General features: G+C 44.5%; 1 protein-coding gene across 6 annotated transcripts in view, besides 1 other annotated feature; it reads right to left on the bottom strand.

Annotated features, from left to right (window-relative positions):
* Positions 1-12,464, bottom strand: part of KCNA6 (potassium voltage-gated channel subfamily A member 6) — a 41,779-nt gene that overhangs the window by 7,520 nt on the left and 21,795 nt on the right. For 2 of the 6 annotated variants that reach the window (NR_172523.1, XM_017019270.2), the window contains exon 2: positions 4,232-4,296. The exons of the other annotated variants lie outside the window; for them this stretch is intronic. The gene's annotated coding sequence lies outside the window, so the exon portion shown is untranslated. The remainder of the gene's footprint in view (positions 1-4,231; positions 4,297-12,464) is intronic. 6 annotated transcript variants of the gene reach the window in all.
* Positions 831-950: an enhancer, noted in NCBI's record as "active region_5832". NCBI's record gives its function as "activates an Ori minimal core promoter by ATAC-STARR-seq in GM12878 lymphoblastoid cells {active_cell/tissue: GM12878}" and the evidence as "EXISTENCE:reporter gene assay evidence [ECO:0000049][PMID:35858748]".

Raw genomic sequence — 12,464 nt, 5'->3', positions numbered from 1 at the left:
TTATCCACTCTCAGGTATTTCCTTATAGCAACGTGAGAATGGCCTAACGTAACTATTGTTTCGCTTTTCAAACTGTGTGCATATATTACTTTAATAAAAAGTAAAGAATTTTTGGCCAGGCGCAGTGGCTCACGCCTGTAGTCCCAGCACTTTGGGAGGCCGAGGCAGGCAGATCACAAGGTCAGGAGATTGAGACCATCCTGGCTAACACGGTGAAACCCTGTCTCTACTAAAAATACAAAAAATTAGCCGGGCGTGGTGGCGGGTGCCTGTAGTCCCAGCTACACGGGAGGCTGAGGCAGGAGAATGGTGTGAACCCGGGAGGCGGAGCTTGCAGTGAGCCGAGATCGCGCCACTGCACTCCAGCCTGGGCGACAGAGTGAGACTCCGTCTCAAAAAAAAAAAAAGTAAAGAATTTTTAAAAACATGATCACTGTTTTGCCCTCCACCCAAATCATATTTCATTCCAATGACAAAATGAAGTGACTATTGAATTATCTACTATTTTGTATTATTAATGCCTAGAAGTCATCCTCTTCCTCCCTTTCTGTCTATCCCACCACCTCCAATTGATTCCCAAGTACCAAAGCTTTCACCTTCCCAAAGCTCTCAACCCCATTCACCTCTTTCCATCTCCATCACCATTGCCCTAGTCCCACCTTTCACCTGGCCACGGACACAAGTTTTATAATTGGTCCACCTGCATCCATCCAGTCCCTCCAATCCATTACACTGTGGCCAGACTGATACTTTCACTCACAAATCCGATCATATTACCCCATTTGATATAGTTAGGCTATGTCCCCACTCAAATCTCATGTTGAATTGTAATCCCCAATGTTGGGGGCGGAACCTGGTGGGAAGTGATTGGATCATGGGGGTGGATTTCCCCCTTGCTGTTCTCATGATAGTGAGTTCTCATGAGATCTGATTGTTTGAAAGTGTGTAGCACTTCCCCTTTTGCTCTCTCTCTGTCCTGCCGCCACGTGAAGACATGGTTGCTTCTCATTCACCCTTTCACCATGACTGTAAGTTTCCTGAAGCCTCTCCAGTCATGTTTCCTGTATAGCCTGTGGAACAGTGAGTCAATTAAACCTCTTTTCTTCATAAATTACCAAGTCTCAGATAGCTCTTTATAGCAGTGTGAGAACTACTAAACCATTTCACCACCCCACCACTTGAAACTCACCTAAGGCATTCATCCTGTGGCTCCAAGGCTGAAGATAAAACTCCTCACCTGTGGACCTAGCTCCAGGCTCACCGTGCTCATACTTACCATGTTTCTGTCATCATGGGGTCTTTGGATATATTGTCCCCTCTCCCTGGAATGTGGTTTCTACCTCCTTTGACTATTTAACTCCTGTTAGTTATTCAAATATCAGCTAAAATGTCATTGAGTTAAATGTCCCTAATTTGGACTTTCATAGCAGTTTTGTGGGTATCAGTTCCTAGTAACATATGCGCAGTGGCAATTTTACATTTGGGCTTAATGGATTAACATCTCCTTCCACTCCTCCTCCTCATCAGCAGACACACACACACACACACACACACACACACACACACACACACACACACACGTAAGCTCCATAAAAGGAAGAAATCTTTTGTTTCATTTATCTCTATATCCCCAGTGCCTAGAAGACAGGAGGACCTCAATACATATATGCTGAAAAATTGGTATGAAACACTATTCTTTACTATGGCAATAACCAGTATGTATTGCTTTGGTTTAAATAACATTTTATTCACCTGTCTCATCTCTACCATAAAATTCTACAACTTGGAGATCGCATGTTTTTTCTTTGAATGCCCTGCTTCCCTCTCTCCTCTCTATATTACCAGTCCCCATTTTTAGATATAAAATTTAAATTTCTGGAAATGGAAATTGACTGACAGAAAGTGTGCAAAAGATCATGTGTTGTATGAGTTTCTATGCCGGCAAGCTAACATGGTACAAAACCCTCCTTCACAGTTTGCCTTTTAGACATAATCATCGATGGTATATTTCCAACACTTCACACATGATCTTTAAATACGTTACCTTCCTCTGCACTTCAATACATATTCAATTGACTGAATTCCACTGAACATCTGATAGAGCACTTTAGGTAAATCTAATGATTTTCATCTTGCCTCAAGTCTATTAAGTTTTAACAACTATGCTTTGTGCTGTAGATGTCTCTATTTTCTTCTCACTTTTATAAAATAAGGACAAAAAAACTGCCAAAAATAAGATTAAATCAATCTTATTAAATCTTTATTATTTATTTTATAATCTTAATAAATTGCCAAATTATTATACATACAGCATTATTACACAGAAAAGATGGTGATACTGGCTGGCTGATGGGGCCACCATGAGAATGCTCATCTGTCAGCTAACGCACACGATTCTAAATTCAGCATAAGATGAGGGCATTAGGGGATTCTAAATTTGAACATCCAATGTTGAGCACCACTTGTTTATACTCCTTGTGCAATTAGGTACTGACTGATAATCCAGTATTAATGTCACCCTTTGCTGAGTAAAATGAGTTTAAATTCATCCTTTCTTTTTCTTCCTGCTTATCAGGACTATATGATCAACCAAATATTCTTTAAAGTTCCTTCTAAGGAGTAAGACTATCAGGTTGTCTTCCTTAAATAAGCTCCCCTCAGACACAAGCTGCAATCAACACGGGGAGTCCTAAATTTTTGTGTTCACAATATAATACAATTGAGAATCTTCCTTGTGTGCACTTTAAAAACACCCTATCCTCTGCCTCCAATCAGTCTCTGGCAATAGCTTGCTATTGGGGGACACATCCCTAAATGGGCTCCACTCCCCAGAGCTTGGGCTATGCCACATCAGCAGGGAATTCTGGGACCAGAATCTGAACCATCCTTCTTGCTGACCCAGTGTGTACCACTGACCATCTCAGTCTCATTGGAGTTAGGCTCAACAGATGTTTCCCAAGCATTCTGCCATGTCTGTGATTGATGTGGAACGTGTCATTCCTTAAAACCTTGAGCTTGGTAAAATTTTCTACTTCCCGCAGATTTGTCAACAGAGCCCTGTGCATTCATTCCCAGGAGGTAAAGAAGTGGCATGCAACAAGTTAGGGCTACAGTTTATGCTTTTTAGTAATAGCCATTCTGGCTGGTGTGAGATGGTATCTCATTGTGGGTTTGATTTGCATTTCTCTAATGATGAGTGATATTGAGCTTTTTTCATGTGCTTATTGACCACGTGCATGCCTTCTTTGGAAAAGTGTCTGTTCAGGTCTTTTGCCCACTTTTTGTTGGGGTTGTTACTTACAGGAAAATAGTCCAGACACTCTCAAGCGTCACTTTATCTTTAAGAGGAGATAGATAGATAGATAGATAGATAGATAGATAGATAGATAGATAGATAATAATCATCATCAATGAAATGCAAACAAAATACCATTTTATGCCCAAATCAACTGCTTCTTTCTCCAACTGGAATACTCAGGAGTGACATAAACCCTTTCATATAGAGTTTATCATTTCTTTTCTCTGTTTGCCTCTTACCATAGCCATCCATTATAACTTTTCATGATGGAAGTTTTTTCTCTTCCAAAAGAAAAAGTACACAGTCATTAAAAATAATTCACTGACTTCAGAAAACTATAAAAAAGAAACAAAAAATTGTGAATGTCCCTTCTACCCAGAAAAAAAAGCACTTTGCCTTTGGAGTCACACAAACTTGGTCTTAAGCCAATTGCTTGGTGGCCTCCTCTGATAAATGGGAATTATAATTGAAGCTACTCCATAATGGGAGGATTTAAGACAATGTTAATATAAGGCACAGTGTTCTGTAACTGCTAGCTATGACTATTATTATTAACATACTTCCAGTCTTTTTTCTATGCATGTATACATACATGTCAATGGGCACTTTTTATGTTTCCACAAGGTGGCTTTTGTTTCCTGAATAGTTATTTAGAAAATACATTGCTTTGATAAATAAATATGGTTGACTTTGAACAACTTGGGATTAGGGGTGCCGACCCCTGAGCGGTTGAAAATTTGCATAAAACTTTTGACTCCCCCAAAACTTAACTACTAATAACCTACTGTCGACTAGAAGCCTTGCTGATGACATAAAAAGTCATTTAACACATATTTTGTATGTTATATGTATTATGTAGTATATTCTTACAATAAAGTAAGCTAGAGAAAAGAAAATGTTAGGAAAATAATAAGGAAGAGAAAATATAGTTACTGGTTATTAAGTGGAAGTGTATCATCGTAAAGGTCTTCATCCTCATTGTCTTCACACCGAGTAGGCTGAGGAGAGGAGGAAGAGGAAGGGTTGGTCTTGCTGTTCCCGGGGTGGCAGAAGCAGAAGAAAATCCATGCATAAGTGACTCATGCAGTTTAAACCCATGTTGTTTACAGGTCAACTACATTCAATTTATTAAGATTATAAATCTTTAAACCAAGTCTTCCTTAAGCTTTTGAGTTCAATGCACAAACTTTATTATTCTATGCATAAGCAGAGTTTGCCTGCTTTTTTGTGCATATTATGCCTGAACTCCTGAGAGCCTATGAAAGCAGTCAGAGCAGGAGAATATCTTTAAGGATATGTATTATGGACCAATGTTTGTGTTTCCTCAAAACTCACATGCTGAAGCCCTACACCTCAGGATGCCTGTATTTGAAGATGGACCTCTAAGGAAGTAGTTAAGGTTACATGAGGTCATAAGGGTGGGGCCCTAGTCCCATGGGATTGGTGACCTCATAAAAAGGGGAGAGACACTGGAGCTCTTTCTCACTCTGTGCACAGAGGAAAGGCCATGTGCATCCTCAGTGAGAAGGAAGCCATCTGCAAGCCAGGAAGAGAGCCCTCACCAGAAACCAATTTGCTGACACCTTGATGACGGATTTCTAGCCACCACAGCAGTTAAAAAATAAGTCTCTGTTATTGAAGCCTCCAAGTGTATGGTATTTAGTTATGGCAGATAGGTTATGTGTTCTGTTCAAAATCAGGCAGCAGGTAAACAGCAAATAGACATAACAGAGTTTCTCATTTTTCAGAGGCGACTGAGTAAACTGGACCATCATATCCCATTTCATGTAGGCTACACTTGAAAAGCAATAAGAGGTCAAGAAAAGCAGCTGTCTTCAGTCACTGCTCTGCAAACAGTATCACGCTGTAAACTCCTTGGTAGCCCCCAGTGTGTGTAAGGTGCCATGCTACCACCTCCCAGTATCAAAGGCAGGGAGCAGGGCTCCTAGACAAGCCAGGAGCCACGAGGCTGCAGGCAAAGCTTTAGGTTTGTTTCTGAATAAACCTATTCGTCAAACATCTCCACTCAACTTGATTCCCAGGCAGCTCTGAAATTTTTATGGAGGACATCCCAAGAACAAAAGAGACAGTGTTCCTTACCATCCCCTCCAAACGTCTGAGGAAGGGGTTCTTAAGCTCTGGGAGAGGGTCAAGGGGGTGCCACTCTGGCCATGGCCACAGGAGGTGGAACTTATGAGACCCTGCAGCCGAAGGCAGTCAGATGATGATAACCACCCCATCCCTCCCCACCTTATGCCCTCTTAGTGGGTGTGCTTATTTTCTACTCTCTCAGAGTGGAACACTTGGAGAGCGGTCTCTGCAGTCTAGCGCAGCAGCACCCAAATACAAAGGCTCTCTTCAAACCACCTCTGAGCTGCAGAGCCCACACTCAGGCAGTCTATCCATGCACTCCCAGCAGATGCTCAGTAAGTGACTGTAGCCTCTTCTGCTTGGGTTACCATAAAAGCCTCCCACAGGTAGAGCAACGAGGAGTGTGTGGAGAGCAGTCTGTACCCACACAGGCAATAAAGGGTTGCATTGTCCACAGAGGACATTAAAACAATAATACTGGCCAAAAATTGATTGCTTTTTATTTCCATATGCGTCTGTGAGTAGACAAAAAACACAAACTTCTTCCTCTGCTCTCACACCACAACAATCAGCACAGATTTCTGTGATAAAATCTTTGGGGATTCCTCCCCACCAACATGCAAGCAATTGCAGCAGATACCAGCCAGTGTCCTCCAATTCCATTCTGATGCTGTCTACCTGGAGACAGCATCAGATCCCACAGGTTGAGGGCTCAGCCCCACAAGACTGCCCCCAACTTCCAGTGCCAGTCACAAGCCCCAGGTTGTTTTGCCTGTGCTTCTGAGGGACTGGTTTTATACACTGGAGTTGCCATGACCCCCTCCGTGGGTTTGCTTAATTTGCTAGAGTGGCTCACAGAACTCAGGAAACTTACTTACATTTATGGGTTTATTACAAAGGATAGTGATGAAGAGATGTACAGGGCAAGGTATGGAGAAGAGACACGGAGCTTCTATGCCCTATTGGGGTGTGCCACCTTCTAGGAACCTCAATGTGTTCAGCTATCCAGAAGCTCTTTGAAACCAGTCCTTTTTGGAGTTTTTATGGAGGCTTCATTACATAGGCATGATTGATTTAACCACTGGCCATTGATGATTGCCTTGACCTTCAGCCCCTCACCCCTTGTGGGGGGCAGGATTGAAAGTTCCAGCCCTATAATCCTGCCTTGGTCTTTTCAGTGACCAGCCACTGTCCTGAAGCTATCCAGGGGCTGCCAGCCATCATTAAACTCATTGACATACAAAAAGAAATCACTCTGGAGATCCCTATGCCAGGAAACAGGATGAAGACCAAATATATATTCCGCAATATCACTAGCAATTATAAGCAATGTCAATGATAAAATATTTCTCCTAGGCGAGCCACCCGGGCATGTCTCCCTGCAACTGGCTATATCAGACACTGCTCCCACTGGGTGCCCTCAATGCTAGTCTGTCGCACTCCCATCTTGCTTCAGCCGGAGGCATCATTCCTAAATGTGACCTGAGCATGTCACTTTGATCTAAAACTCCTGCTTGCTCCCATGGCCTTCAGAATGAATCCCACTTCTAAGCAGCTTCATGACTCTTCGCAATCTTGAGTCCAACTTATTTTTCTAGCCTTTCCTGCACCCTTTCTCTCACTCCATATATCCCAAGCTCCTAGCTCCTTGAACACAGCATCCTATTCTTGACCCCCATACCTTTGTTCAAGCCATTTCTTTTATTAAGAATTTTATTTTCAACAATGAAAATTCCAAGTCATCTTCCAAGGCCCTGCTGAAGTGTTAATTCCCCTGGGAAACCCTCCCTGACCCCCTCCAGTGCCAAAGAAGAATTTGTTGTTCTTCCTCACTTACCCAGACCACCTGTTACCTGCCTTCACAGTATCACTTACTGCAGAGTCCACCTGATCTATTCACTGCAGGAAGAGTCCAATCAACAAGAGTGAGGTCTGGTATAAAGACAGTGACTTTTGGCCAGGCGTGGTGGCTTGCGCCTGCAATCCTAGCACTTTGGGAGGCCAAGGCAGGTGGATCACCCGAGGTCAGAGTTCAAGACCAACCTGGCCAACATGGTGAAAGCCCGTCTCTACTAAAAATACAAAAAAAAAAAAAAAATAGCCAGGCATGATGGCAGGCACCTGTAATCCCAGCTACTCAGGAGGCTTAGGCAGGAGAATCACTTGAACCCAGGAGGTGGAGGTTGCAGTGAGCCAAGGTTGTGCCATTGCATTCCAGCCTGGGCAACAAGAGCGAAACTCCGTCAAAAAAAAAAAAAAAAAAAAAAAACAGCGACTTTTTATTCCATAGCTACCTTAGGGGAAGAAGTACAGGCTTCCTGCCTTAAGGGCACCACTTTGCTTTTGGAACAGAAAGAAGGTTCTTTTTGAAGGGGGCCTAGCATGAATGACATGCAGGAGAGGAAACCAGCAGGTCGGGGTACACATATTGGCTTCGGTGCCTTATCTATCAGACAGCTGAGTTGATGTCTTTGTGGGCAGGACTAGGTTGTTCAAGGTAGCCAAGACTCTCCAGGTGGGAGAGAGTTTCCTAACAAGCAACTTTGGGTTGGAGGTTGACTGTTGTCCCATGAGGAAGTCTCCTGGTGGGAGAGTTCCACTCTGGAACTTCTAAGCGCATAGTTAGATGAAATAGCCCTATAGGGAGTGTCTGCTGAAGGGAAGGTAAAGGTTAGAATTACATTTATAAAGGGCTAAGTAGGAAGTGGGAACAGGGAGAAATGGAGGAAAAAAAAGGAAAGAAAAAAATAATTTAAAAAAAATCATTCTTGGCCAGGTGTGGTGGCTCAAGCCCGTAATCCCAGCACTTTGGGAGGCTGAGGCGGGCGGATCACAAGGTCAGGAGATCGAGACCATCCTGGCTAACACGGTGAAACCCCGTCTCTACTAAAAATACAAAAAATTAGCCAGGCGCAGTGGCGGGTGCCTGTAGTCCCAGCTACTCGGGAGGCTGAGGCAGGAGAATGGTGTGAACCCGGGAGGCAGAGCTTGCAGTGAGCAGAGATCGCGCCACTGCACTCCAGCCTGGGCGACAGAGCAAGACTCTGTCTCAAAAAAAAAAAAAAAAAATCATTCTCTGTTTCTTAGAAAAATGGGAGTACTCAGTTTGCATTTATTAGCTTCCCTCCTATATAGACTCCAAGAATGCTAAATTCCCAGTCCCAACAGTTGAACCCAATACATTGGTTAGGCTACATTTTACTAGTTAACAGAGTTGTTGTGCCTTAGGTCAGTCCTCAAAACCAGCTTGCTTTTCAGTCCCTGGTCCCTTGGGTCAGACCGGGCACCTTTCCTTTCTGTCCGTATGATTCTCACTCCATGAAATCAGCTGGGTAAGAGGGCTTAGAACCACTTTTGGGTCTTGTTCTCTCACCCTCCTGAAAGTCAGCTGTAAAAGAGCTTGTCACAGATTTTGGCTCCAAGGTCGATGAGAGTAGGAGACCCCACTTTGGCCTGTAGTCCCAGTTGCGGGTTTCAACTCAGTCTTTTACTGGAGAGCCCTGAATTGCAGGTAGCTGGGTCCTGCTTTAGATACTAATAAAGTGGTACCTTGCTGCCTGCATTGGTCTTTACTGTCAGAACCCACTGGTGATAAGGCATGAACAGCAGGGCAGGATCTGAGCCCTCACATAAGCCCTGAAAGTCTGCCCTAAATCCCCAAGCCCCCGCTTCTACCATTTACCACCATTGTACTTCAGTCAGCTGTTTACTCGTATCTGCCATCTAGACATGACCTTCTTAGAAGATTAAAGTTTTGCTCACCTTTAATTCTCTAGTGCCTCACACATTATAGGCTTAATATCAATGTCTATTTAAAAAAATAAGTGGGTACAAGACACGACGTAAGTTTCTTCTTCTGCACCCTACCGGTTCCCAACCCAGCTGTCACCCCTCACTACTGCCTTTGTGCTCTCAGAACCCCAATTTTGTTCAGGTTTCTGGAAGCCAACACTTCAAAGAAGACAGGCTGGCTGGGCATGGTGGCTCACACCTGTAATCCCAGCACTTTGGGAGGCCAAAGTGGGAGGACTGCTTGAGCCCAGGAGTTTCAGACCAACCTGGGAAACATAGCAAGACCCTGTCTCTACAAAAAATAAAAATAAAAATTTATAGCCAGACATGGTGGGTGTGCCTGTAGTCCCAGCTATTCAGGAGGCCGAGGTGAGAGGAGCCCTTGGGCCTGAGACATCAAGGCTACAGAGAGTCATGATCACGCCACTGCACTCCAGCCTGGGTGACAGAGGAAGACCCTGTCTAAAAAAAAAAAAAAAATTTAATTTAAAAAAGAAGGAGACGAAGAAGGAGAAGGAGAAGAAGAAGAAGACAAGTCCCTCCCAGCCTAGGGATGACTCTAAGTTAATCATGGTAATCCTAGCCGTTGGTCTATTCTGGTTAGGACAGCCCCGCCCTAACCACAGCCTAAGGAAAGGCTCATAGGAGACAGCTGGGGAAGTTTTCCTCATCCTTAGGCTCAACCCTTCCTGCCTTCACACACTGTTGTGTGAGGACATGATGCTTGGAACTGCTGCTGCCATCTGTGAGCATGAGGCAAAAAGCCAAGCAAGTCCTAAGAACAGACTTCTTCAAGCCCTAACATCATTGGCTATGGCAGACCCACTACAAAAAATGCTTCCAATGCTCCACCTGCCCTTGGCAATGTGACCTTGAAGCTCCTCCCACGAAGAGGCAGAGTCTATTTCCTCATTACTGAGTCTTAGTCAACAGCACTGCAGCAGAAGTGACTGCACCAACTCCAAATCTCGTCTCAAGAGGGATACTCCAGGCTGCCCTGCTAGAGACATGGGAGCAACATGGGCAGGATACTGAGGCTCCCTGGCCAACAGCCACACAACCCCCAGCAGCACCACCTGATCAACCTAGAGATGACCACAGATGCATGAGGGATCACAGATGCATGAGGAAGCACAGGTGAGACCAGAAGAGCTGCCCAGCTGAGCCCAGCCAAAATTGCTGACCTGCTTGAATTGGGAGCTATAAAGTAATGGTGGTGTTTCAAACTTTTCGGTTTTTAATTGGTTAGCTATGTCACAATAGCTAACTGATGCATTACGAATCCTGAAGCTGTCCTTCCTCAAGACTCCATTTCATATGAGATAAAAAATATTCTCTTTTTTTAATGCCACTGTTACATGCAGCCTATAGTTCCCTGATATTGTGCTCTGAGGAATAAAAACGATGAGACAGGGCCCTGCCTTCAAGAAAATGGCAGCCCAACTACACTTAAGACGTATTTTCAACTAGGTTGTTGACCCCCCTGAGGTGAGGGTTTGGTGGCACATGTATCTCTAGAAAGGACTCTTACAGTCTAAAAATGTACAGCAACACAAGGTAACCTCTGCTGAGTGCAAAAGGAGTGGTCCAGTCCACATAAAGACTTCATGAAGAGCTGGATATGAGCTAGGTGGTCTTTGAAGGAGATTTAGGATTTCGAGTCATGAGGAGAGAGGGAGGGTTGAGAGAGGCAGGACCCTCTCTGGGTCTAGAAAGATGGATATTCCATAGGGATTTGTTCTGGAGACAGGTGAGTGACTAGGAATTGAATTCTGATGTGGTGATTTAGGGCATGAAGCACATAACAAGGACAAAACAGTGTCTCAATGCAGGCCTGCAAATGTTCATTCTATGAGGTGAAGAATGAACAGAGGGGCCAGAGGTACAAGCCAATGTCCTCTGCAGCCACCCTCAAAAGAGTATCAAAAAGCGTATTGTCTCAGGAGTATCAGGCCACCGCCCCATAACCTCAGATGTGACCAGGCCTGAAGGATCTCCTTCTACCTGTGCGTCCCTGCACCTCTCACTTTATCTTACCCAGTGGGCGCACTGCCGCTGGGGTGGGGTCACAGAGGAGGCCTTGAATCAATGCTGGGTTGTAGGTTGAACAAACTTCACAAGACTAGAAAATAAGTAATAGAGAGGTACTTGTTTTTTTCACATTGCCAGAGTCTCACATTTCCCTCTCTGTCTGAGTTTTCCCAAGCCCACAAGGGATGGTCGTGGGCTGACTGATGACACCCAGGCTCTCGGGGTCTGAAGAAAAGCAAAAGAAAGGCCCCTGTTCTCTGGTCCCAACCACAAACATGAGGGCACTAAATAATTCCACAACTACACCATCTTCAGAATCAGAGCACTAGGAAGGAGAGAGCTATTACTCATTTTGACCAGGAAGCCTTGTTTTATTTAGCAATGAGTATTTGCTAAGCGTATCTTCTACTCAATAGAACACCCTCACCATGTTTCTGTGAGACCAGAGTGATCCCCATTTTATACTGGAGGAACACAAGGTGTATGAGAAATGTGCCCAAGATCTCAATACTAGTGACTCGGAGAGCCAGGGTTTGAGCCCAGATCAGTCTGATACTGAGACCTGTGCTCTCTCTGTATATAGTATGCAAGAACTATCATTTCTTCAAAGTCTGAGCTGAATGGAAGCTCTCATAAGAGATTATTTTCAGAAGCTCCGTGTCTTAGCCAAGGGAGTAAGTGAATTAACACACTGGACTCCAAAATCCAGCTCTGTTATAAAGTAGTCATAGTAGCCACGTGGCCTTGGGCCAATCAAGTCATCACTCAGGACCCCAATTCTTTTTGGCATTTACAAAAGGAGAAAGCGGAGCTGGAGGATGGATCCGACCCCTTCCAGCTCCCATGGCTGGGAGGTTTTCCATCTCTCCCATAGAGAGGCTAGCCCAGACTGAACCAGAACGTTTTTTTCCTGACTAACGGTTTCTAGGAAAGAGGCTCATGCTGGCTGGCTCTCAGGCTCAACCCTGGTCCAATCCACTGTCAGCAGGACGGGGTCAAGCAGGTACTAACTTGGCTGGCTGCTTGTGGGTGATAACGAGTTATTGTGAAGGACTCTTGGGCCCTCTGATAGCTGCCTGACAATGCCCAACCAGAACAGTAAAGATCCACCAAGCCAGCCGCTCCGGGCCACATGCAACTTCAAGGACCACTTTGTGCATCTGCACCAAGGCTCCCTCTGTTTTGAGAAAGGAGAGCTCGTCGGTCCCATATTCCTCCGCAGTCCTTGCAAATCCTCTCACCTGGCAGGAAA

Source organism: Homo sapiens, chromosome 12 (genome assembly GCF_000001405.40).
Source record: "Homo sapiens chromosome 12, GRCh38.p14 Primary Assembly".
NCBI classification, from domain to species: domain Eukaryota; kingdom Metazoa; phylum Chordata; class Mammalia; order Primates; family Hominidae; genus Homo; species Homo sapiens.
Note: the sequence above shows the minus strand (reverse complement) of the source record. Positions and strands in the feature narration are given on the sequence as shown.